The sequence below is a fragment of the Homo sapiens genome, chromosome X (genome assembly GCF_000001405.40).
Source record: "Homo sapiens chromosome X, GRCh38.p14 Primary Assembly".
In the NCBI taxonomy this organism is placed as follows: domain Eukaryota; kingdom Metazoa; phylum Chordata; class Mammalia; order Primates; family Hominidae; genus Homo; species Homo sapiens.
In genome coordinates this window covers 134,996,743-135,023,030 of record NC_000023.11, presented here as the reverse complement: position 1 = coordinate 135,023,030, position 26,288 = coordinate 134,996,743, and the positions used below count along the sequence as shown (strand labels likewise).

The following is a 26,288-nucleotide window of genomic DNA, read 5'->3' as shown; positions in this document are numbered from 1 at the left end:
ACACAAAATCTTTGCTGTAGTATACCTGGCAAAAATAACTGATTCTAATCATGAGAAAACATCAGAGGAAAGCAAATCTAGGGACATTTAAAAAAAATTGTTGACCAATAATTTTCAAAAGTGTCATAGCTGAGGGTTTGCGAAGGAACATGGAAGGACAGAGAGCATGGGACAAGGAATAGATATACCAGGCTGACTAATCAGCTTTAAAGAACTTACAGGCTTTGCTCTCCAAGCACATGGGCTTGGACGTCACCAAAAAAATCCTCACTCCCCAACCGCCTAGAAAGACTTTGCCCCACCCCTACGGTGCGACCCTGCCTCCTTGACCAGTTAAGCCAGCCACCACATTTCCCACCACCTGCTCCGCTGGGTGCCCCGGGACCCCCTGGCGCACTAATGACCTCCAGGCCTTCTGGGCAGAGCTTGCCAAAGCGCCTGGGCCCTCCCCATGGCTCCGCCCACATCCCGGCTTCTCCTCCCGCGACATGCACTTCCCGCTACGCCTCGGTGCAGCCCCCGGCGAAGCCCAGCGCAGCTCAGCTAAACTCAGCGGAGCCAGCGCGGCGCGATGGAAGGTCGAGTGCAGCTGATGAAGGCCCTCCTGGCTCGGCCCCTCCGGCCCGCGGCGCGTCGCTGGAGGAACCCGATTCCCTTTCCCGAGACGTTTGATGGCGATACCGACCGGCTCCCGGAGTTCATCGTGCAGACGAGCTCCTACATGTTCGTGGACGAGAACACGTTCTCCAACGACGCCCTGAAGGTGACGTTCCTCATCACCCGCCTCACGGGGCCCGCCCTGCAGTGGGTGATCCCCTACATCAAGAAGGAGAGCCCCCTCCTCAGTGATTACCGGGGCTTCCTGGCTGAGATGAAGCGGGTCTTTGGATGGGAGGAGGACGAGGACTTCTAGGCCGGGAGACCCTCGGGCCTGGGGACCGGTGCTCTGGGAAGGGTCCGCTGTGTTACTGGCCGCCGCCAGGGTCGCCACCGGCGCCCTCCCTCCGCGCCTCCCTCCCCCTCGAGCCGCCACGATGTCCCCTGCGCTCCTGTCCCCTCCCGCGTAGTGCTTGCCTTTGTTCCAGGAATAGCGCTCCAGGCTCCTGCTGCCGCCCCTGGGCCTCACTCTGGAGCGGGCTGCCTCCGCCCTCTCGTGCCAGCTCAGCCCCTCCCATGCACATTTGGACGCTGTCCTGCGCTCCAGTTGCACAAAGCTGAGCTCCTGTTACACACTGACAGACCACTGACAGCCGCCGCTGCCAACCCCCCTCCTCCTCACCAGACTTCCAGACGACTACATCATGCTGCCCACAGACCTGCGCTGCCACTGCCATCGCCATCCATCGCATTCCACCGACAGACTGCTGCTTCTAGTGATCTGTACTCACCTCGGAGGTATCTGGGCTGGACACAGCCCCTGGACAATGATCCAGACAGCTGGCTGCCCCTCAAGGGACCTGTTACCTTCAGCGAGACCCATTTCCTCCCCAATCCCAGAGACTTTTTGTGCTCCTGCCACATGGCTGCCAGGGCTCAGTTGTGCCTGGCAGCCAAATCGAGTCTCTCATTTTCTCTTGTGGACCAGTTAGTTTTGCCCAGAATCCATTTCTCTTCTGAATTTGCAGCATTTTCTCAGGTGCTTTTTGATCAACAAAATAACTTGTATCTTCTGCTTAACTCCTTTATACTACCTGGAGAAAAGTATTTTCCATATTTTCAATAAATGTCAGACACTATTGAGAAAGAAATAGAGTCTGAATGAATATGGCACCTTTCCCTCCCTGGTCCTGTAAATGTGGTCCATATCTTGTTCAGAAGCGATATCCCCTGCCATTCAGTGACTGATGTTGACTCCTGCATTATAAAACATCTAAGATAGAGTCCTGTGGTAACCTGGGGGATAGTGTCCCCACTGGTGATCCTTCTGTCCCAGATGTTGAATCCTCTAAACCAGTTAGGATTATCCCAAGCCTCTTAGTAAATGAATCGTTACCTCATTTTGGTCAACACTATGTGAGAAGTCAGCCAGCAGGCTCTTGGAAAATGTATCCTCATTTCCAGAAAGTGGTTTGAAAACACAATTCCCAAATTGTTACAAACCATAAATCCCACACAGATTATTGGTGAACAGCTGTAAAATTTTACTCAACCCATGATTCAGGGAACCAACAGAATTATATAGGTGCTTTTCAAAAGCATTTATAAATTCTTGATTATGTAGGTAGTGGGGGGAAATGCAGAAATGAGATCATTAATTTAGATACAAACCTGGTTGATGACCAGGGGGTTTTATTTTGCAGAAGAATTGGGTATTTGGTATCATTTTATTCAATTACATGTGATCCTGGTACATTTCATAAGCTTGGGTAAAAAAATTTTTTGTTATTTTCCATGCACAATAAGGGAAATGTTTTAATTGGCTTTGTGCCTCCTGCTTTACAACAGTTCTGGCCTCAAGTTACCAGGTAGCCTGAACTTTGATTTTATTTTACCATTAAATTGCTTTAATACCATTGTATTTGGTGAAGTTTTAGTCTTTGTGTAGCTTATTTCATAGATATACCAAAAATGAAGGAAGTTTTGTAGTATATTCAATGTAAAACCACATATATTGACCCAGCACTTGTTTTTTTGTTGTTATTGTTCTTTTGTTTGTTTGTTTTTTAAATTATACTTTAAGTTTTAGGGTACATGTGCACAACATGCAGGTTTGTTACATATATATACATGTGCCATGTTGGTGTGCTGCACCCATTAACTCGTCATTTACATTGGGTGTATATATCTCCTAATGCTTTCCCTCCCCACTCCCCCCACCCCACAACAGGCCCCAGTGTGTGATGTTCCCCTTCCTGTGTCCATGTGTTCTCATTGTTCAATTCCCACCTATGAGTGAGAACAGACCCAGCACTTGTTTTACGACAGTGAATGCCTGAAGTGTTGGTCACCGATCATGATTGAACGTTGTTTGTAATCTTATATCTCAAGTGAATTGCGTGTCGAAAATCACGTTATTCAGTCCAATTCTGTTCCTAGTATTTTGCATAAGTTTCCCTTGAAATTTATAGGGAATATTCAATTTAAAAATGAGTAAATTCATGGTCAGATTGAATGCGTTCAGTTTTCTGGAATGAATGACATTTGCAGGTCACGTTGCACAGTTTTATTTTAAAACCATAATTGTGTATTTAATATACTGTTTTTCTTTAAATTTGGCTTTGGGCCTCATTTCCAGGTGTTCTCCCGCAGAAAACATGATGTGTGTAGTTTTTATATGCAAACGAGTTAAAGAAGAGTGATCTAGAGCCAGGCTGGTCAAGACAAGAATTGGCTGGAATAGGCTGCTCTTCCCCCATTCCATCATGTGCTGTCCCCACCCCTTTGGCCACCTGGGCTGACTGTGTCTTAATACCTCAAGTGCAAGTATATAGGAGTAAGAAATGAACAATGCCTGCCTCCTTATACTCATGCCTACATTGTATGACATCTAGTATGAAAGGGAAACATTAAAGGAAAACCCTTGTTTTGCTCTAAAACCTGAGGACGGTAAACACTGAGAGTAACCTGGTGCTTGGTTTGAAGTAAAACACAAATACTTCCCTTTTATAATGGTGATGGTTGTGTTTGCTTATTAGCCTTTTTGCTGGTTAATTCTTGATACTGACTAGAAATGTGTATATTGCTTCTTGAAATGATTTAATGACTTCTATATTGGTGAACATGGACGTTCTCTAAGTATAATCCACTTATATTATATTTACAAATCAGTAAGATTGATTGCTGGTATTTGGATTTTGTGTTATCTGTGTATTTGTTACTGGCAGGAATGCAAATTTGAGAAATTAGGATGCTAACTAGCCTCATTAATCTTGGCTTTTCAGGCAGAGCCCTGGACCTTGAACAATATCTCCTTATGGAATGAAGAACTTGTATTACATACCCGTTGCCCATAGTATCCTAAAGGTATACTTGCCAATTAAGAGCAAATCTCCCAGATTTACATTGTATTACCAACTGTCCGATTTTTGCCATTGTTTTCTCCAAAAAAAAAAAAAAAAAAAAACTATGTTCAATGTCAGATGATAATAACGTTACTTAGCATAAGGAATTCTTTATGAAACTGTTCTAAATGATGTTAACTTCATTTTAATTTAAGAAATTTTCTAAGTTATGTTACTGATTACTGACAGTAACACACCAAAAGTACAGTTCTATTATGTGCATTTCATGGTCTTCAGTGCCAGTATTCAGTAACATACTGAATACTCAGCTGAAATCCATTTGGAAATTTATTATGCATAATATTGCACGGTATGAGTGTCACTAATCAGTAACAAAGTGAGGAAAACCAAAGATTTGTTACCCATAGTTTTGCATAAATCAATTGCCTTGTCACTGAAGAATAACAACATAAAAGGACTCCTCTGAAACTCCCCTTCTAGCAAAAAAAAAAGGGGGGTATTGTGTCTTGGCATAATATTTTATAATTTCCCTGTGATGTTTACTTAAAGCAAGAAGACCTATGGTATCCTTTGGCAGGGGCAATCAGGCCTCTGAAAAGCAGTGTTAATTGTCCTTATGCAGTCTCAGTCTTACACCGAGGCTCAGTGTAAGTTACCTTTCACTCTTTCAGCCTACCTGGCACAGGATACATGATTGAGTACTCAGTCCCCATCAGGTATTTTCAGAAGGACTTCTACATAAGGGAATGAGGATGAGTAGCCCAGCCACCTATCGTATGAATTTCCAAGTACATACTTACAGTGGTGCTGGGTTGTCCACCCATAGGCAAGTCTCCTTGTAGATTTATACAGCCACTATCTCCTTCAGGACCTGTGGTGGGAATGTCCAGGACTGGTCAGCCTGTGAGCCTGTAACATGGATACAGTGGAGCCAGAACAAACTGTCCAGAACAGCCAGACAAGTAAGAGCAACCTTATCTTGTATGAAGTGATAGGTATTGGGTGGAGGGCACCACCTGTCTCCCGTCAGGTGTACCATCATTTATGATGGTGTTGAAACCCGTTTCCAGAATCTCTAAGCTAGTAACTACCAACAATGTTAGGGTCAGTCCATGGACACTGATTATTAACTCCATGGTAGAGACCCTGCTAGAGAGTAGCATCTCTTTTTAGTCATTATTTGTATTTCTCTGTTCAGTGTGGGTGCCACTTACAGACAAATTAATTTATTTGAATTACGCTGATTTCAAAAAAACCTGATCTTGACATTGTGCCATCAAAGTTTTGATCTTTTGATCCTCTTTGGAACTCTTGCAGTAACAGTCAGCAGCAAGATGAACTGGACAGTCAAAAATAAACTCCAGGAATGAAAAGATTGTGGGAGTGCTACTCAGGTGTCTTATGTCTGGTGTAAAAACATGGATCTGAAGGTAATTTAAGGCCATGTCTATCTGTAAAAAAAGGGGAAAGATAGGACTCGTGGACCAAGTGGGTGGTGGAGAATGGTACTCTGCCAGTCTACCTGCACCATGAAGGGGAGGACATTTACTTGTCAGGAGTCCAGGAAGGCATAGGCTAACAATGAAAGTAATACATACATTGATGCACCTTCAAATCTTCACCCAGTCAGGCACTGTTGGCCAGTTCTTTGCTTTGCGGACATTGCTGGGACCACATATCATGTCTCATTCCCAGTTTCCAGTATCTGAGTCTGAAAGTCCCATGGCCCTTTCTCACTATCATCTTTGAGCCTCAGTTTCCTCATATGCACAATGGGATTCATACCATGGTTTCAGGGATATTGTAGAATCAAGTGTGATCATCCTTGATAAGGGCCTAGCACACAAGAGATGGTTAAGGAATTAGTATCTTACTTCCTAAATCCATATATTGGAGAACATGAGGGTGCTTGGTTTCACTCCCTTCCTATCACTGCTTCCCCACTCCTGTCCAATCTGTTTGACTTTGCCATAATGTCATTTAAATGTTTGTTTGCCTTCCCAGGGCCAGCAAGCTTCCTCAGGGATTACTGAGGCATCTCCTTGGAAACCATACCTCATTAATCCTGCTGTGAAGTAAGAGGCAGCCAGGACCCCAAGCTTTTCCTTTTTCTGAGCCACATTCTGTTCTGGCCAGCTCGGACACCTTACATGGAGGCTGACAGGGCTCAACACCCAGCACCCATCAGGACTCACTACCGTCTGTAAACTGAGCAGCCTGGAGGGAGCCTGTTGACTAGCAGTGCCAGAGAGGTCTCTTCTCTTTCTTTGCCTATGTAAAGTAATTTCTTTTAGGTGTGGTGATTAATTTATTGAAATTCAGGTGAAGACATTTGACAATTTGACAGAGAGAAGAAAAGTGCTAGATGGAAATATGCACTCTTCTCAAATGTTCTCAAAGAGACTTTTAACCTTTAGTCCCAGTAGATACTTCTCGTTTGGTTTCTCTACCTTTCTCTTGACACAATTTTCATTCAGAAGGTGGCATCACAGAACCTGAAGCCACACACCTTAGGTCAAATTCCACACTTCCTTTTGAATAGACACTAAAATGTCTAGCCTTTATCCAACACAGTGACATTCACACTCTTCTGATTTATCCCTGTATTTTGTTAAGTTACTTTAAATCCTTGGATGATGAGGGTCATTGTTATTTGCCACCCAATGAAAAACTGAGACCTGAGATATACATAGAAAAGCTTTACCCCAAACCTATGTTTCTTAACCAAATAATGTGATAGTGACCTAGAGTGGCTTATTTCCTAGTCAAAAGTAGGTGTGAAACAAGGTGACTGTGACTCCTCTCTGTTACACACGCGTGTGTTGTGCCCTCTGCCCCTGCAATGGCACAGTCATCTTAAGTCACTTCACTGTTGTGGAAGAGACTGTGGGGAAAACCTAAATGATGGTTTAGTTGGTAATTCTACTGACTATTGGCATTTTAAAATTTGGGGTTTAAAAAAATTGTTTGTGGAAATGGGGTCTTGCTGTGTTGCCCAGTCTGGCTCCAAACTCCTGGGCTCAAACAATCCTTCCTCAGCCTCCCAAAAGTCTGGGATTACAGGCATCAGCCATTATGCCTGGCTCTATTGGCACTTTAGAAGCATTCATAAAGTAGGGGGATCCAAAAAGGTGTCTCTCTGGTGACAGTTTCAGGGATCAGGATGCTGGATGAAAAAGAAAGTGGGCCTCCTCTGAATTTAAAGTGGGACCTTGCCCCTTAGATCCTTCCCAGGAGTTCATTCCTAGGCCAGCACAGGCAGTCTCATCAGGCATGTAGTCAATGAATGACTGTTCACTAATGGGAATGTTAATGTGCTACAAATTTTCGTGTGAAGTGTTCCATGTCAAACTCACATTTGCCTTAACATGTTTTTTCACGCCTCTTATTTCATGGAAATAAGAGGCCTCTTATGTCATGGAAAGGGAATGCATGATAATGGACACTTTAAAGCAAGGCTTTGGACTGAAAGTCTATGGGTTATATATGTAGGAGGCAATTTATTTCACTAGTATTCACTCAAACAGAAAAACAAATATGAAGACTGATATTTTTATCTTTTTTTAAAATGACATTTTGGGTTACAGATATAATACGTGCTCATGTACAAAGTAGAGAGATTTCAGGAGAATATAATGAAATCAAATTCACTAAAAATCTGTCTACATAGAATTACACTCACTGTGACCATTTTGGATCATTTCCAGTTAGGCTGTTCCTTGACAATACCCATTTTTAAAAAATTAGGACTCTTGACATTAATTTTTATCAAGTAAATTTATGCTCTCACACTCAGAAATTTGAAAAAGTCTTTGATACAATTTTTTTTTTATTTTGTAGTCATGAGAAAGGGACATTTTTATCCCTGGGAATTGAAGGCTTGTCTCTCCTAACTTAAATGCCAACTTGAGTCTTCTTAGTGCCCAACATGTTATTTTGGAGCATAAGGGCCAGCCACAAGTGGGAGATATTAGCCAGTGAGAAAAATGCAACTGATTGTATTCCTTGTTATACTAGTTCCCTGTTAAATGCATCCAGTAGTGTAACTGGGACAACAATGGTCATTTTGAGAGACATCTTATTCTACTAGAAAGGAAGATATAATGGCGATGGTGATGATGAGAGTGGTGGTAATGATGCTAAAACAAATCAGCCAAAGCTACCACTGATAAAATCCTTACTAAAACCGAGAAGTTTCTTATCTAATCCTATAAAAATGTGTATTAAATACTGCTATTTTCTCTGTTTTTCAAAGAACATTAATGACTACAGAACATATACTTACCTTGACATGGCATCACAGCCAAAATATTGTGAGTGCTGGTGGAGAGGGACTCAGATCTAGGTTTTAACTGGCCTTGAATTCTGTGGGATTTATCATAAGCTGTAAGAAGCCTTTTAAAGTATGTTTTTGTTGCTAGAAAAAAGCATTAGTTACCCCAACCTCTATCTCCTCTTCACTTTCCAGTCAATATAATTGTCCAGAGGACACACAAGGTGATTTTGCAGTTGTAGAGATAACAGATGGTAAAAATGCTTGTGAAAAGAAGGGACAATATGTTTTGAAGTAAATGGATTTCATGGATCCCCAGCCATTTTATCTGTTGTTTTAATAACAAGAATTATAGAGGTTAGAGGCTCAGAAAAGGGGAAGGGCTTCTCTGATCAGGAAAGATGGAGTGACACATCTTCCCTTCACCAGGGGCCTACAGGCTAGAGGTGGGAAAGGGGCTGTAAGCAGTGGCATTGTGTGGAGCTGCTTCCTAGAGGTTGAGGCCAAGGGACTCTGGTGGGAAAGTTGCCCTGGGCACTCTGCATTCAAGGGAGTGTTTCCTACTCCCTTCTCCATGCCTGGCACCACAACAAAGCATATTGTTGAGTGTAACGTGAGAAGTATACCTTTTGGCAAAGACAGGACTTTTATGATGGGGATAGAACCTTACTTTCCATTATCCTTGAGAATTCCAGACTTGGCTACTGGTGAAGGCTTAGCTTCTGTGTATACCCTTAGCCTGTGAAAAATGGCTCAGGAAAAGGTGAGCTATACCTCTTTTACTGTAGCTTAGTAGAGCAATCTGAGGGAGATATCTGAGAAGCAACTGCGAGTGTTTCTGGGAAGCTGTCAGTCTTGGTTGAGTTGAGCACACAGTCTTTCATATCTGTAGTGAGCTGTGTTCACCAGCAGAGAATTAGGAAAGTGACATGCTGTTGCTGATATGTTCTTCTAACATATGACCCAGTAACTTTTTTCTTCCATGCTCCAATGGTTCGAATGCCTGTGCAAGGTAATACAGGAAACACACACTGGCATTGGCAGCATTCTGGGCACGGGAAATTTGGGGTCTAGAGAAGAAACTGGTGATGGCCTTCTGTCAGGATTCTGTGCTCAGACACTAATGTGCTGAACTGCATGGTTTCCACTGTGAAGAGGAATGGCATGTCAGGCATCATGAGGACCCCTGATTCAGTGAATAGGAACGCAGTTGAAGTTTATTCAAGCATTTCTCTGTTTTAGCTTCTTGCACTCTTCCATTGATCATACTCTGCACATTGGTGGGGACAGAAAAGTCATGTGGTTCCTGTCAATGACCAGTACATGAAGCTGGTGAAATTTTGATCCTCATAGGTATCTGTAGAAGAGCCTGAGTGTTCAGGAAGCTCCCATGTCAGGTATCCAGGCTAGCAGCTTAATCTCTCCTATTCCTCATGCTGAAAATGGCACCTACCTCAAGGCTGTAGGTGTCAGTTTCCCTGTTTATAAGCTGTTGCCACTTGGTGATCTGACCCATCTGCCATTTGGTCCTCTCAGAGGGGAAATTACATGGTCTCAAAATGACCTTGCCTGTGCTTTCAAGCAGAGAGTGTTACAGACACAACCGTGAGGGATTTATACATCTTGTATAGTACTCCAGCTACTGCAGCTGTTACAGGATAAGGGGAAGCCACAGTTTGAGGAGGGGAGGGCACACTGCTTTCCGTATTTCAGGCTACCTAAGAATTCAAGCAGGAATGCAAGGAATCTCCAGAATATGACAGAGGAAAACAATGCACATCGATAAATGTCCTATGAGCATATATGGCCCATTGCAAAGTTGAGACATTGATGAAAGGGACAGGTCATTATTTTCCATATCCTCAGTGAATGATGGGCTTCTATATGGTCACGTAGTTCAATAATGTGATGGACTTCTGCAAAGTTACTGCTGTCACTTTTGCTGATGCTGTTGTATCCTCACTGATGCCATACACTGTAGGCACTCATCTTGGTCATAATCCAGAGTGTTCTCCCATAGGTTTATTGCAAGTCGTGAGCACTACCTGTGATACGCATTTCCCGTTATCTTACTCAAGAGGGCTGAGCTGAGATGCTCGTTTCAACTGCTTAAGTTATTTTCTCTTTACCTAGTGCTCATGCAGGTCATACATTTTTGCCGCCAATCCTTTTCCACAATTAGAAAAGAAGAGGGCACAGAAGTTTCTCTACTTCAGGCTACCTAACAGGTCAAGCAGGAATGTCAAGAATCTGCTGCATATGAGGAAAACACAGACAGTTCAAGGACTAGGGACTTTGATATGAAAGTTGCAGTGGGCACTAGGGTTCAGGGAAGTGCCCCCAATTCCCTTTTTCCCTTCCCTCACAGTACATTTGGAGTACCATGACTGGAGGACACAGGACAACATTGCACATCCACAGATGTCATACGAGCATACATGGCCCACTGGCAAACGTCAGGCATGAATGATGGGGACAGGTTATTTTCCATTTTCCCAGTGTGTGGTGGACTTGTCTGTTGGTGAAGGCATTGCTGCCTCAGCCTTCTTCTGTGTATTACTTTAGGCCTGTAAAAAATGGCCACAGAGGTAGGTGACCCTTCACTCAATTATACTGTTACATAGTACTATAATGTGGAGAACTTCTGCAAAGTTACTACTGTTGCTTTTGCTGATGCTGTTGTATCCACACGAATGGGATGCACTGTATGCCCTCATCTTGGTCATAATCCAGGGTGTTCTCCAATAGCTTTATTTCAAGTCTTGAGCACTGCCTGTGATACGCATTTCCCGCTATCATTCTCAGGAGGGCTGAGCTGAGATGCTGGTTTCAACTGCTTAAGTTATTTTCTCTTTACTTAGTTCTCATGCAGGCCAAACATTTTTGCTGTCAATCCTTTTCCACAATTTGAGCAGGGGAGGGCAGAGGGTTTCCCTGCTTCAGGCTACCTAACAGGTCAAGCAGACATGTCAAGAATCTCCTGCATATGAGGAAAATACAGACAGTTTAGAGGACTAGGGACTTTGATGTGATAGTTACAGTGGGCATTAGGGTTCAGCGAAGTGCCTCCTGTCCCTTTTCCTCTTCCCTGACAGTACCTTTGGAGCAACATGGCTGGAGGACACAGGACAACAATGCATATCGACCGATGTGACATGAACATACATGGTCCAGTGGCAAACATCAGAAATGGATGATGGGGACAGATTCTTATTTTCCCTTTTTCCGGTGACTGGTGGGCTTGTCTGCTGGTGAAGGCGTTGTGCCTCAGCCTTCTTCTGTTTATTGCTTTAGGCCTTTGAAAAATGGCTACAGACGTACGAGGCCATTCACCCTATTATATTGTAATATAATACTATAATGTGGAGGACTTCTGAAAAGTTACTGCTGTTGCTTTTGCTGATGCTTTTGTATCCTCATCGATGCAATGCACTGTGTGCCTTCATCTTGGTGATAATCCAGGGTGTTTTCCCATAGCTTCATTGCAATCTTGAGCACTGCCTGTGATATGCATTTCCCGCTATCTTTCTCAGGAGGGCTAAGCTGAGATGTTGGTTTCAACTGCTTAAGTTATTTTCTCTTTACCTAGTTCTCATGCAGGCCATACATTTTTGCAGCCAATCCTTTTCCACAATGTAAGAAGAGGAGGGCACAGGGGTTTCCCTAGTTCAGGCTACCTAACAGGTCAAGCAGGAATGTCAAGAATCTCCTGCATATGAGGAAAATACAGACAGTTCAGAAGACAAGGGTATTTGATGGGAAAGTTGCAGAGGGCATTAGGGTTCAGCGAAGTGCCTCCTGTCCCGTATCCCCTGACCTTACAGTACCTTTGGAGCAGCATGGCTAGAGGACACAGGACAACAATGCATATCGACTGATGTGATATGAGCATACATGGTCTACTGGCAAACGTCACACATGGATGATGGGGGCAGGTTCTTATTTTCCATTTCCCACTGAGTGGTGGGCTTGTCTGTTGGTGAAGGCGTTGCTGCATCAGCCTTCTTTTGTGTATTGCTAAAGGCCTGTGAAAAATGGCCACAGAGATAGGTGACCCTTCACTCACTTATATTGTTACACAGTACTATAATGTGGAGGACTCCTGCAATGTTACTGCTCTTGCTTTTGCTGATTTGTTGTATCCATACTGATGCGACGCACTATGTGCCTTCACCTTGGTGATAATCCAGGGTGTTTTCCTATAGCTTTTTTGCAAGTCTTGAGCACTGCCTGTGATACACATTTCCCTCTATCTTTCTCAGGAGGGCTGAGCTGAGATCCTGGTTTCAACTGCTTAAGTTATTTTCTCTTTACCTAGTTCTTGTGCAGGCCATACATTTTTGCTGCCAATCCTTTTCCACAATTTGAGAAGAGGAGCGGGTTTCCCTACTTCAGTCTACCTAACAGTTCAAGCAGGAATGTCAAGAATCTCCTGCACATGAGGAAAATACAGACAGTTCAGAGGACAAGGGTCTTTGATGTGAACGTTGCAATGGGCATTAGGATTCAGGGAAGTGCCTTCTGTCCTTTTTCCCCTTTCTCACAGTACCTTTGGAGCAGCATACCTGGAGGACACAGGACAACAATGCACATCAAAGGCTGTGATATGTGCATATAGTGCCCACTGGCAAACGTCACACATGGATGATGGGGACAGGTTGTTATTTTCCGTTTTCCCAGTGAGTGGTGGCCTTGTCTGTTGGTGAAGGCGTTGCTGCCTCAGCCTTCTTCTGTGTATTGCTTTAAGCCTGTGAAAAATGGCCACAGAGGTAGGTGGCGCTTCTCCCTCTTATATTGTTACATAGTGCTATAATGTGGAGGACTTCTGCAAAGTTACTGCTGTTACTTTTGCTGATGCTGTTGTATCCTCACTGATAGGCTGTATACCCTCATCTTGTTAATAATCCAGGGTGTTCTCTTGTAGCTTTATTGGCATTCTGGACACTGCCTGTGATGTGCATTTCCTTCTATGTTTCTCAGGAGGGCTGAGCTGAGGTTCTAGTTTCAACTGCTTAAGTTTCCTCTTTACCTTGTTCTCATGCCTGCCAATTATTTTGGCTGCCTGTCCCCTTTTATTCATGATTGTAAAATTGGCAAGAGGCTTACTTAGCTTTCAAAAAGATTTGCATGCTTTGCAAAGAAGCAGAGGAAGAATTTACAAGTTTTCCAAAGTAAATCTTCTTAAAAAAGGGAATTGTTAGGTCTATTCTTTTTTCACCAGGGAGATTTAAACTTTTATTTCTTATTTTCCTTTGTATTTGCCCTTTCAACATGCTGCCATGTGATACCAGTTCCCCCAATTTGCCCTTCACAATGATGACTCCTGTGTCCTTGCTCAAGCCAGGCATGTGCAGAGAAGTTCCTCATGTGGGACTTGTGCAAACAGGACCTCAAGGACAAATAATAAGTATGAGCACTTGCCCATTTTCTAGCCTGTGCATGCTTTTACCCATACCAGTGTTTTTATGAAGGGTTCTTTATAACCAGTTGGAGTGAGGAATCAAACCATTAGCCTTGTTTACAGATGGCTTAAATTGACATGTTGATGTCAATGGTCTGTTGACAAGTGGGGCTGTACAATTTATCTCATATCCTCCTGTCCTTGAGTCCTAAATGAGCAGAGGTTTGGTTTCCTGTAGTAGACAGACATTTACTTTGTATGACTTGTTATATCTACCGCCTGATAGAATTTTTGGCTGTAGATGAGGACCCAGTTCCTCTCTTCTGGATATTTAGTGCATGGGCCTCTCCAAAAGGTATGAAAGAATGTGCAAAATGTATGCACTCCCATACAGTTTGAATCAGTTCCTCCAGATCCCTCTGGATTGGAGTTTGTCCTCTCAGCCCATTGTGCTGACTCCAGTCATGCAGTATATGGATTGCTGACAGCTGCCAGGGTGGCCACCCAACAGTTTAGATTTGTGTTGGTCTTCTGAGCTTTCTTTGTACCTTCGTATTCACATGCAAACCTAGTGTAGTGCTGCTTAATTTGAGAAAAGAATAGCAGTGGGCTGTATTCAGTGAATCCTAGTGGGATTCATGGATTTTCCCGGTCTCCCCATCAGTCAGACATGATGCCTTACAGAATGCTAGAAAGGCCTGTTGTAGACTCCACTCCAGTGTCAGCTTGGACTACTAGTTCTGCAGTCAACATGCTGATCTACAGGATGTGGAATATAATTTAAGCCAGAAAACAAGCACCTGTGCTTCTCCAAAGTCCAGAAATGGTGGATCTGGGAACCTGGGGTTAGAGGTAAGCATAGAACTTTTTATGATTACAGATGAATTCTCCTCACCAAATGTTTTTAGATTTTAGAACACAAGGAAAGGAGAATGGTTCTCCATGGGAAATGGGTAATGCCATTACTGCTTCCATATTATTTTTTGCCTTGATTCTTCAATTTACATGTAGTATTTTACATTGGCAGTGTTTAAGGTTAACGTTTAGTCCATAGGTTTTTGAATTTCATCAAATCCAACAGTTCTACAGAAGCCATGCACTTCATCTGGAGGACTTTGTCTCAAGGAATGGCCCCATGACACCAGCTATTTATACATACAAACAGGAATTGACTTTGGGATTGGCTTGGACTTTGGGTTGTTTTCATTGTTCATGATATGTGCTTTAGTACTTACTCAAGAGATGGTTTTAAATATTTTACATACGGGGACGGGTCAAAACATGTATGTACTGTATCTATGTACTGGGGTGGAAGGCAGCAGTCTCAGGCTGATTGGTCTGTCCAGGAAGCAGCTTTTCTCTGAGACCTTTCCACACCCTTCTGTTTCCTATGTGACTGGCCATAGCTACTTGGTTTGGTACCTTTCACCTCACCCTAGTTGAGCCAGTCATGCTCTTGAAATTAGACTGAAGAATGAGTGACAACCTGTTAAGTCTCGTTAATACTTTTTCACTACAGATAATGTAATTTAGAAGTCCTGCCATTGAGTTCACCTCAATCGGCCTCATTTCTGTGTTTTCAAAGTGTTTGTCACTTTGGTTTCTTGCATTTTATAAAATATTTGTGTTCTTCCAATAAAATGTTTGAGAAGATTCCACTTGTAGATTTGTATTATTCACAATGAATGCTAGTATGGCTCTGCCATGTGCATCATTGCATGAACCAGGGAAGAACTCTGAACTCTATAATCTGATAGATTGAGGACAGGGGCTTCATGGCAAGAGTGTGAGGTCTTCTGGCCATGATGGAAGTTCTCCCCTTTGTCTAGAGCAGTATTCTCCTAAAGATAGTAGGTGATCTAATACCTCCTTAGGAGAACTGATCCTTTTGACCACTTCATGAAGGACACAAACACATATTTGGAGATTGTGAGAGTGTTGGGGGAATATCCTGATACTGCTAAGGGTGAGACAGAAGGCAAGATGACCAGTATGTCAGCAGAAGATTGTTGCAAAAGTCATGAGGACCACAGCTGGAAGCAGAAGACACACAGTTAATTCCTGGTAAACCCTGCATTAGAATCTTGGTCTTTTGTGTCTGAGGCATCTTTCATTACAACACACCACTAGGTCTTATAAAGGCTTTGTAATAGCAGAATTAAGTTAGTTAAATGGGTAGAAGTTTTTTGGCATTGTTTGTTCTTTAAACATATCAGGCTGGGCGCGATGGCTCACGCCTGTAATCCCAGCACTTTGGGAGGCCAAGGTGGGTGGATCACCTGAGGTCAGGAGTTCAAGACCAGCCTGGCCAACATGGGTGAAACCCCATCTCTACTAAAAATACAAAAATGAGCCGGGCGTGGTGGCGGGTGCCTGTAATCCCAGCTACTCGGGAGGCTGAGGCAGGAGAATCGCTTGAACTCAGGAGGCAGAGATTGCAGTGAGCAAAGATAGCGCCACTGCACTCCAGCCTGGGCGACAAAGTAAGACTCTGTCTCAAAAAATAAAAAATAAACATATCAGCACAGTTTCTACTGCTTGTATAAAATCCCCAGTTAACTAAAATTACCTACCCTCTGTGCAGCTTACCTTGATTTAAACACTTCATCAAATAACCATATCGTTGTGATCATTAAAATCTCCACCCTTTCCTATCAAAGCAAGAAGAAAAAAAAATCTGCCCCCACAGAAAAGGAGAACAAGACCATTGCAAACAGTCTGTCCTGCCTATAGATGTGCTACACTGGGTGGTTGGGCATGGCTCTCTCCCTGGGATTTCATAGTGATCTTAAACAGCCGGTTTCAGAAACTCTATTCTTTCCATTCAGTCTAGAGGGGCCCAAGCTGCAGTGTCTCACCTCTTGTGTTAGGGTTTTACTAGTATGCTAAGCTCAAATCACTTCTCCAATTGCAGCTGAAACTTGATTGATATGCCTTTTATTACCCTCTCTTGTGTTACAGAATGAGTCTCACATTAGGCTGTGAACCACTCCCAGCCAGCTACTGTTGCCCACGCCTCCATATGTGTGCCACTCTTCCCAGAGATTCTCTGAAATGTTGTTCTGGGCAGTGGGGAGTTTGAAAGGGACTGAAGGATTAGGGAGCAGATGGCCAGTGACGTCCAAGTTATTACCATTAACCAAATTCCCTTCTAGCACTGTCTCAGCCGATGGCGGCCACACACAGTCTTTGAAAGCTTGTGATGGGCATCCAGTAATGAATCTTGCTCTGTTACCCAGGCTGGAGTGCAGTGGTACAATAATAGCTCACTGCAGCCTTCAACTCCTGGGGTCAAGCGATTGTCTTGCCTCGGCCTCTCGAGTAGCTGGAACTACAGGCATGCACTACCACGCCCAGCTTATTTTTTTCTTTTTTGTAGAGAGGGGGGTCTTGCTATATTGCCCAGGCTGGTCTCAAACTCCTGGCCTCAAGCAATCCTCCTGCCTCAGCCTCCCAAAGTGCTGAGATTACAGGTGTGAGCCACTGCCACTCAGCCCAGATAAGGCTTTCGATGCCCAGTTGCACTGGCCCCCAGATAGTGGAGGGTCATTGGCCAAGTACATGTCATCTTCCCTCATTTTTTCATTATACAAGGGAATGTGTGAGTTAAGATGACCATTGTCTCAGAAAGCCAGGGACACACTGAGACAGGAATTGCTGCTGCTGGAGGTTCCCTGAGCTATCACCATCCATAGACTAGGGAGTATATAAGGCTGGTTCACCCTGCCATCCTAACTCCCCAGAGAAACTGTAAGTGACGATGAGGAGCCTGGATGGAGAGGGGCAATGTCTGGGGAAAGAGACATTATATGAGGGCAAGATGCGGTAAATGCCCTCAAGGAAGAAATAGGACCTACAGGGTAAGAAACTAAAGAAAAATTTGGTGAGATTTGGGGGATGCTTCTCACATGTATTTTTAACTGAGGATTAGTAATATAATAAAATAAATAAATAGCAAAATCACAAACCCATCAAGTTCCCTATTGTAATAGCTACAATTAGCCCAGTTACTACCTCTGACAGACCCTGTGCTGAGCATTAGTCTGTATCATCTTTCTTCATGCTTATAGTAATCTGGGCAGCCAGGCCCTATATGTATGTCTCAGAGAAGTCAAGTCACTTGCTCAAGGACATACTGTTAGTAATTTGCTGAGGCAGGATTAAAACCCAGGCATGTGTGATTCTATACCTTGTTTGATCTTAACCCCACAGCACCCTAGAATGGACAAGGGCTGGTACACAGATATTCATTAAAGAAAATTTGAAAACAGAGATTATTAGAAAAAAATAGCATTATTCTTACCATATAAACTGAAACAGTTTATATCTTGTTTTATTGTCATCTAGTCCTTCTTTTCCATATATATTTATAACTCTATTGTGTTTGCAATTTATTTTCCATTGCTTTGACTTAATTTATGTGCATTACCTTATTGCTTCATTTTTTGTAACCTGTGTTTTCATGTTTTTTTTTAAACAACTGTGTTCTTTTTTATTACAAAACTGTTCTCTATCTTATTGCAAAGGACTTGTCAATTCATAATGGCACAAAGGAGAGAATAACAAGTGAACTATACAGAAAGTGACTCACCAGAGATAATTACTTCAATTTTTTCTTTTAATTGCAAAGACACAATGAGCAGAGGAGTAAGCAGCAGTTATTCCAGTCGGAGTTGGGTGCATCTGTGGAAAGTGCCAAACGGACCTGTTTCTCCCTCAGAGAACATTTCTTCCCCTTCCTGTTGTGTGCCCCCTTCTGCCTCCCGGTTTCTGCATAAGACAGGTGGGCTTAGAATTGTCACTGTAGTCTGGGGTAGAGTGGATTCTAGGCAGCTGGGGGCAGCCGTAGGGCATTGTCCTCCTAAAGGCTGTGTCAGAGGGTGGAGGCAAAGAAAAATGTCCTTTTTGTCCCGATTTGGACCCTATTTCAGGTCAGTGGGTATGATTTTGCCATTTGCTTTTAGTCTTTCACCAACGTCACAAAATTACATTACCACTCCGATCTTTATATTTCTAAGCATCACCGGAAATGCATGGTTGTGGAGGCGTGTCCATGGGGCGGAATGTGGGCCTGTCCATGGGGCGGAATGTGGGCTTGGCCATGGGCGTGGCCTGAGTGCTTGCGCGGGCTCCGCCCCCAAAGCCCGATGGTCACTAGTGCGCAAGCTCAGAACGGGGCCGGGCCGCGGCTGTGAGAACGTGGGGGAGGGCTTAACTCTCTTCAGGAGGCGGGGTCTGAATCAGAAAGGTGGGGCCAAGATTTCCCAAGGCAGGCGCGGGCGAGGGGCGGTGCGCGGGGGAAGATCCCAGGACAGTTTGCGGTGTGAGGGGAGATTGCGCCCGCTGCCCAAAGAGAGCAGAGGACACGTGTTCTGGAAGGTGATGCGGCCTCCTACCGTACTCCTCCCCTCACCTAACTCATCAGCTGTAGCGTGTCCCTTTACTGACTCTCGGCTGTGGACGCCACTGGAGTGAGGTTCTGTGAACACATTTTCCTCCTTCATGCATCTCTCAGCCAGATTATTGGCTCCCTGGCCGCAGATGTGGTTACTTTGAAACATTAATAGGAAAGCCCCAAATATTAGCAAACATCCAGAGCAGCACATTCAAAGAGTAATGCACCATGAACAGTTAATAGAAGGTGGGTTAAATGTTCAGAAATCTATTAATTTGCTATATTAGGACACTAAATGAAAATAATTATAGGACATCTTCAGAGATGCTGAAAATATAAAAATAGGAGGGATTGTATTATTTTACCAGAAACATTTGCTTTTAGTGTTTTACCAACACCACAAAATTGAATTGCCACTCTGATCATTACATTACTTTCTTTAACATCATAATCACATATATGCACATAATACACCATTTACTTAGGGCAGTCAGTTTTAATGACACTTCTGTTTCTTTCATGAATCATGTGTTTTTATGAGATACTGCTGTGTGTCAACCCCCCTTGGATGCCCAAAACAGCTCAGCCCAAAGAAGATGCGGTTCGAATTTAAAATACATAATTTAATCATGGGTTTAGAGTTAGGATTTTAAGTAAAACTCTTACTAATTTTTATATACATACATACTACATATATACATACATACTACATACTACATATATATACATATAATATTGGAACATTTAAGAGAAGCTTAGTTTCACTGTTACCGGTTTACTTTTTTATTTTTTGAGATGGAGTCTCGCTCTATTGTGCAGGCTGGAGTGTAGTGGCGCGATCTTGGCTCACTGCAACCTCTGCCTCCCAGGTTCAGTCAGTCCTCCTGTCTCAGCCTCCCAAGTAGCTGGGATTACAGGCACATGCCACCATGCCTGGCTAATTTTTTAATTTTTAGTAGAGGCGAGGTTTTGCCATGTTCGCCAGGCTGGTGTTGAACTCCTGACCTCAGGTGATCCTCCCGCCTTGGCCTCCCAAAGTGCTGGGATTGCAGGCATGAGGCACTGCACCCAGCCTGCTTTTTTAAATAAATAGAATGATTTAATAATCATGATGGATTTATCAAGACTTATATTTTTCATCTCCCAAGTCTACACTTCCTCTGTCTTCCCCATCTTGGTAAATGGCAACTCTTTCCTTTCTGTTGCTCAAGCTAAAGGCCTTGCTGTCATCCTTGAATCCTCTGTTTCTTTCATGCCCCACATTAACTCAAGTCTACCTTCAACATACAACCAGAATCTGACCACTTCCTGGCACCTCCACTGTTATGACCTCTGTCCAAAACACCTTTACACCTCTCCTGGATTATTCTAATAGCCTCTTAACTAGCCTATCTAATTCTTCACTTTCTTGATAATGGCCAGTTCTTGTAAATATCTTTTGTTGAACATATGTACATGTTTCCATTGGGTAAAGAACTTGGAATTACATTGTTGCATCACGGGGGATGCTTATGTTTAACTTTACTAGATAATGCCAAACACGTTTCTCATTTGGTTGGACCAATTTACATTCTCACCAGCAGTGCAAATTCATAGCAACAGCAAGGAAAGTAATTGTATGAAGAGAGGAAACATGACCCCAGTCCCACCCCATTAATGCACCAAGTGCATTTATTTTTTTCTCACCTCTTTTTATGTGGAACATGCCTTCTTCATGCCATTCGAATGACACAGTAGCTTCTAGAAGATCTGTGTACATGTCACTATTGGCATGTGTGTACGTGTCACTATTGGCTGTAGACTATGAGGCTTCAGTGGGATATGACACCAACATCAGCCCACAAGACACAGCAGATGGAGTCTTGTGGGCCATGATGAATAGAGCTGCCTTTCATGGGATGTGAGGTCCAAGGTGTGGTTCAGGAAAGGCAAAGCCTGGGCAAACTGCTCTTTCCTGCTTCTCGGCCCTATTTGCCAGTGCATTTATACCATGGAGTTATGGTGAATGTGAACACACAAGAGAGTTTGACAAGGAGCCAGAATTCAGAAAATGGCAATGGGCAGCTTGGAAGATGTGTGTTGGAGAGGGCACAGACCCACCTCTGCACCCTGCTTCCCTGAGGGTGGCTTGTGGACTGCTTGTTTGAACGTGGGATTCAGCAGCTTTTCTCTGCCTCCTGGAAAACAGTCCCTGACCAGCTGCCAGCAATGCGGGGCCCTAGGGAGCCAGGGCCTAGAGCAATTGATCCTGTGTGTCAGATCCAGATGGTAACTCAGTATTTACCAGGTGAGCTTTGCAGGTGGGTGGGAGTGGGGCGGGGCGGTGGGAGGACCTGCCTAGCCTCATCTAGTGCTCAGTAGTTCTGGTTGTGGTATGGTTCACAGGCCTCTATATGTTTCAAGCTTCCAGGAAATTTAGGCTTTCAGCCTTCTCTGTATGGGTAGAGAATGAGAGTGAATACTTCAAAGCCTTTTGAATAGGCTCAGAACTCCCAAAATGTCTCTGCTACCAATTCCATAAGGTCGAAGCAAGTCACCGGCCAGCCCAGATTCATGGGGGTGGAGAAAAAGACTCCACTTATTGAAGGAAGGAGTGGCAAAGTCACAGTGCAAATTGCTGAGCATCCAGGGATGAGAGGAACTGCTGTGGCCTGCGTTGGAATCAGCCTACTACTTTATGTATATGGAAATGTGAGCCAATACTTAGAGTAGTATCTTATAAAAGGGCAATAGCCAATATATAGGAACAAAGTCTGTATTTGAGATAGAAGCTTACCCAAGGAGTGTGAATGTCTTCTAATCTACTGTTGGGTCTAAAGGAACCATCTCTGGCTTTGCAAGGGGTTGGAATTTCAGCTCACTCTTCCCTCTCTGTACCCTAAGAAGAATTGAAAATAAAGCGGTGTCTTCTGTCTGTCTCCAGGAGAGTAGAAGACAAAATAAACATCTCTCTAGGCCATAATTTAAATATTGTGCAAAGTTCAGAGGTGAGACTGTGATATGGATAGCGTTCTGAGAAGGCCCAGAGTGTTAGTTTCTGTTTTGGTTCCCATCTTAATAAAAAAGGACAAACCGCCAAAAATATTAGAAACCATAGTAGTATTTTGTTCTTTGGCAATATATTTCATTGGGGGTGCTAAGGACACTTTGAAAATGCATCCTTGTAAAGTTGCTCTGTGCTATTTTCCCCATGGAAAATTCCTTAATATCGTGTACAATGATTCATCAAAATAAAATGTTTACTTAGAATCTTTGGATATAGACTCATAGTGGCCCTGAATATATCCTAGCCTAGGGTATTCTCAACTATGACCTGAGGAACACTGATAGGCCTCAGCTGTTGGTATGTGTTGCTTCTATAGTCAAACCCCTCTGTGAATGGCACATTAGATAAATACCTATTGGAGATCTGCACTGTACTTTAGAATATTAAAGGCTTCCAGAAGCCCTGGAATGAAGAGATTTGGTTGCTGTTTGTCTTAGTCTGTTTGTGTTGCTATAAAGGACTATCTGAGACTGGGTAATTTTTAAAGAAAATAAGTTTATTTGGCTCACAGTTCTGCAGGCTGTATGAGAAGCATGGCACCAGCATCTGCCTTCTGGTGAGGGCTTCAGGGAGCTTCCACTCATGGCAGAAGGCGAAGGAGAGCTGGTGCATGGGGATCACATGACAGGAGAGGAGGCGAGAGAGAGAGAGAGAGAGAGAGAGAGAGAGAGAGAGAGAGAGAAGGAGGTGCCAGGCTCTTGTCAACAACCAGTTCTAGCGGGAACTAAGAGTGAGAGCTCACTCTCTCCCGTGAGAATGGCGCCAAGTCATTTATGAGGGATCCAGCCCCATGACCCAAATACCTCCCACCAGGCCCCACCTCTAACACTGAGGATTAAATTTCAGCATGAAACATAGAGGGGCCAAAGAAACCATATCCAAACCATAGCACCATTGTTAAAGGAGTACCTATTAACATCTGTATCACTGATTCCTTACCTGGGGAGGGCTTGGGAAGCACCTGTGAAATGTTTTTTTGTTTTATACGTGTGCCCAGGCCCTCACTCTGCTCCACACCTCCTTCTGAATCAGAGTATCTAGGGTGAAGCATGGGGGTATGTATATTTTCAAGGATCATGGATCATTCTGATGAGCGACTCTAATTACAAACCATTAAAGGCATGCATGTTTTGTGGAGCTGAGTTTGGAAACTACGGGTCTAAGGCAACATTCTCATTTTGCTGGCAAGGACATTGAGATCCCAGAAGGGGAAATGACTTGCCCATGTATGGATAGAACAAATAATCTAATCTTTGAACCCTTTTCCCCATTATATAAACGGACTCTAGATGGCAGTCTATTTCTTGGTTTTAGTCTGTGCCTGCACAAGCAGAAACATTGAGCAATTTATTGGATGAATTTGAGCATGGCAGTGCAATGGTTTAATCGAATGAGTGTCTATCACTCTACAAGCATGTTCTTTCTGTGGAGTCTATTGTGGCCAATTAAGCCAATAACTCTGTCCACAGCAGCTTCTCCTGGGAAACCAACCAGAAACCAACCCTGGTAGCCACCTTGATCTTGGACTTCTAGACTCCAGAACTGTGAGAAAATCAATGTCTGTTGTTTAAGCCACCCAATCTGTAGTATTTTGTTATGGCAGCCTAAGCTGACTAACACACATGCAAGGATCTCTGGCTATGGATAATTAACTTTGCAGCTCCCAGAAATGAAATCTACCAAAATGATTCTCTGGTCTAACCAACAGCGGTGCCTGGCATTTCAGCCATCACACTAGCCTAGCAGCCAGAGGGATAGCTCACGTACAAGTCCCAGGCATGAGCCATTAATTAAACAGACCCAGAGCCTCTAGAATGAGGGATGATCGGGAGAACCTGAGTAAGCAATCTGTTACAACACTTGTGAATCTCCCCCTTGATCTTCCCCCAAAAACACTTGTACCTCATTGACCTTAGCAACTTACAGTGGAAAGGATAGCCCCAAACCTTCAGAAATGAATTGGGGCTGGGCACGGTGGCTCACGCCTGTAATCCCAGCACTTTGGGAGGCCAAGGTGGGTGGATCACCTGAGGTCAGGAGTTTGAGACCAGCCTGGACAACACAGCGAAACCCCGCCTCTACTAAAAATACAAAAATTAGCCAGGCACAGTGGCCACGCCTGTAATCCCAGCTACTCAGGAGGCTGAAGCAGTAGAATCACTTGAACCTGGGAGGCAGAGGTTGCAGTGAGCCATGATCGCTCCACTGCACTTCAGCCTGGGCAACAGAGTGAAACCATGCCCCCCGTCCCCACAAAAAAAGAAAGAAATGAATTGGAAACTGACTTTAAGTTAATGTTAAAGCCAATGGACCAGAACACTCCTGCAGTAGTGCCTACCTCAGAGTGAAGGGGGCATTTACCGAGGTTAGGGGAAACTGAAGTTTTTCTCTGAGTCTGTCCGCCAGTAAGCTGAGTGAGACCCTAAACCCTCCTCTGGGATTATTCCACCACTGCCTGGACATGCTCAGCATCAGTCAGCATCCACACATTGCTTCCAGATGGAGTGTTCCTCATCTGGCTAGTGGCTATTGGGGCTGCCCTGAGGTTCTGTTGCTTCCTCTAACTTCTGTGCTGCAACACATGGTATCATGGAAAGCACGATAGTTATCTTCTGCACCCTTTGAGGAATGCAGAGCGAAGGCATGGAATGGGAGGTTTCCCCCATCCTTTTCTTTCTAGTTCCACCATATCATGTTCCCTATTCACCCTGCTGGTACAGGCAAGCCTCCTGACTTCAGAAATCTCCAGGCAGAAACAGATGCTAGTCTCCAGTATATGGCCACATGGGCTACCTGGGCCCTGGAGAAAGGGGTTATAAGGGTAAGCAGGGGGAAAATGGAAGCTACGAGAGCTCCCCCTCCTCCTCAACAGAGGAAATAAATGCAATAGCATATTCTTGTGGGAATTTCAGGGATTTTTGCCACTATTCAAGATTTGGAAAATGCAGATGTCATTCCTGCCACATGTAGTTAGTGTGAATCCACAGCTAAAACAAGGCTCTCCAGCTGGTGTAGGCTACTGTGCTGGTAGGTCTGCCCGTTGGCCCTTATCATCTAGCAGATCCAATGGTGCCCAAGATGTTTGGAGTAAATCATAATGCTATATGGGTTTAGCAAACAGAAATTCTACAAATAAAAAAAAAGAATGCCATATGGAGCCTGTGGCAAGCCCTGATAGGAGATTCACCATGGAGGCTGCTAGGATGCAATACATACTATGAACCAGCAACCAATATATAGAGCTATTCCTCCCACTGCCAAGATTAGCAAGTCTGGGAGCAGAGGAGTGGAAATAAAGGTAGTGTCTCTCATAATTACACCTGACCCATTGCAACAGTTTTGCTTCCCATACCTACAACTCTGATCTCTACTAGATTAGAGGTTTAAATTTCCTAGGAAGAAACACTTTTAGTAGTAGACAAAACAATGGTTTCACTGAATTTGAAGCCACTCTTAGATCCCCAGAGCCATGCAAAAAAAAGGTGATTTTGTGGTTTCTGCTATAGAAGGAGGACAGAGAGTAATATGGATGATTCTCAGGGGGTCCTCTAAGGTATTTTTTTATACTACAATCCTGAGGGGTGCATGACATAATATTGCAACCCTACAAAGGACTCCCAAGGGCTCAGACTCCTTAGGATTGAAGGACTGAGCCTCCCCAGTGGCTAAAGCAAAGGGAATGTGGAATTGATAGAGTAACAGGACCACCACATGGCTATGTACAGCAATGAAGACTCTACCCTCTACTTATATTTCCCTGTTTATTGTCTTCCTTTTTTGAAACTTTTCTCACCTCTTCTTTCTTTAGTATTATAAATAGGGTACAGTGGTGATGGTGAATTCACCACTTAGATCATGGGATTACAGAATATCAAATTGGGATAATGGCAGAAGTAGAGAAAGAAAAGACATCACTGGGAGAACGTGAACTATAAACAGAGGCCCCATGACTTCACCTCTGACTGTGGTAGCTGGAAATGTTTGTACGTGTTGCCTCTCTCTTGGTTGCATGTGGAATAATTAAATTATGCCAAGAGGCATCATATGAATGGGAGAAGGTTGTTTATACATGCTGGGAATACAAGGAATGAAAAGTAATTATTGTCTATGTTACTTTTTTTTTTTTAATACCTAACATCTTCTCTTTGGGGGAACTGCTAAAAATCACCGGGATTCACTTCTCTAGAACAAAGGAGTACTTGGAGGATAAA

General features: G+C 43.7%; 1 protein-coding gene across 1 annotated transcript, besides 5 other annotated features; it reads left to right on the top strand.

Moving 5' to 3' along the window:
- Window positions 34-534: an enhancer, noted in NCBI's record as "H3K27ac hESC enhancer chrX:134156527-134157027 (GRCh37/hg19 assembly coordinates)". NCBI's record gives its function as "activates a minimal SCP1, AML or CMV promoter by ChIP-STARR-seq in primed H9 embryonic stem cells {active_cell/tissue: H9 hESC(primed)}" and the evidence as "EXISTENCE:reporter gene assay evidence [ECO:0000049][PMID:30033119]".
- RTL8B (retrotransposon Gag like 8B) lies at window positions 489-2,518 on the top strand. Its single transcript, NM_001078173.2, has one exon. The coding sequence runs from the start codon at window positions 572-574 to the stop codon at window positions 911-913; it is 342 nt and encodes a 113-aa protein (NP_001071641.1). The 5' UTR covers window positions 489-571; the 3' UTR covers window positions 914-2,518.
- Window positions 535-1,035: an enhancer, noted in NCBI's record as "H3K27ac hESC enhancer chrX:134156026-134156526 (GRCh37/hg19 assembly coordinates)". NCBI's record gives its function as "activates a minimal SCP1, AML or CMV promoter by ChIP-STARR-seq in naive H9 embryonic stem cells {active_cell/tissue: H9 hESC(naive)}" and the evidence as "EXISTENCE:reporter gene assay evidence [ECO:0000049][PMID:30033119]".
- Window positions 17,940-18,448: an enhancer, noted in NCBI's record as "H3K27ac hESC enhancer chrX:134138613-134139121 (GRCh37/hg19 assembly coordinates)". NCBI's record gives its function as "activates a minimal SCP1, AML or CMV promoter by ChIP-STARR-seq in primed H9 embryonic stem cells {active_cell/tissue: H9 hESC(primed)}" and the evidence as "EXISTENCE:reporter gene assay evidence [ECO:0000049][PMID:30033119]".
- Window positions 18,449-18,959: an enhancer, noted in NCBI's record as "H3K27ac hESC enhancer chrX:134138102-134138612 (GRCh37/hg19 assembly coordinates)". NCBI's record gives its function as "activates a minimal SCP1, AML or CMV promoter by ChIP-STARR-seq in primed H9 embryonic stem cells {active_cell/tissue: H9 hESC(primed)}" and the evidence as "EXISTENCE:reporter gene assay evidence [ECO:0000049][PMID:30033119]".
- Window positions 18,867-18,926: a silencer, noted in NCBI's record as "silent region_21017". NCBI's record gives its function as "represses an Ori minimal core promoter by ATAC-STARR-seq in GM12878 lymphoblastoid cells {active_cell/tissue: GM12878}" and the evidence as "EXISTENCE:reporter gene assay evidence [ECO:0000049][PMID:35858748]".

Coding starts and splice junctions, on each gene's coding strand:
- RTL8B (NM_001078173.2), top strand. CDS start 572: ATGGAAGGTCGAGTGCAGCTGATGAAGGCCCTCCTGGCTCGGCCCCTC.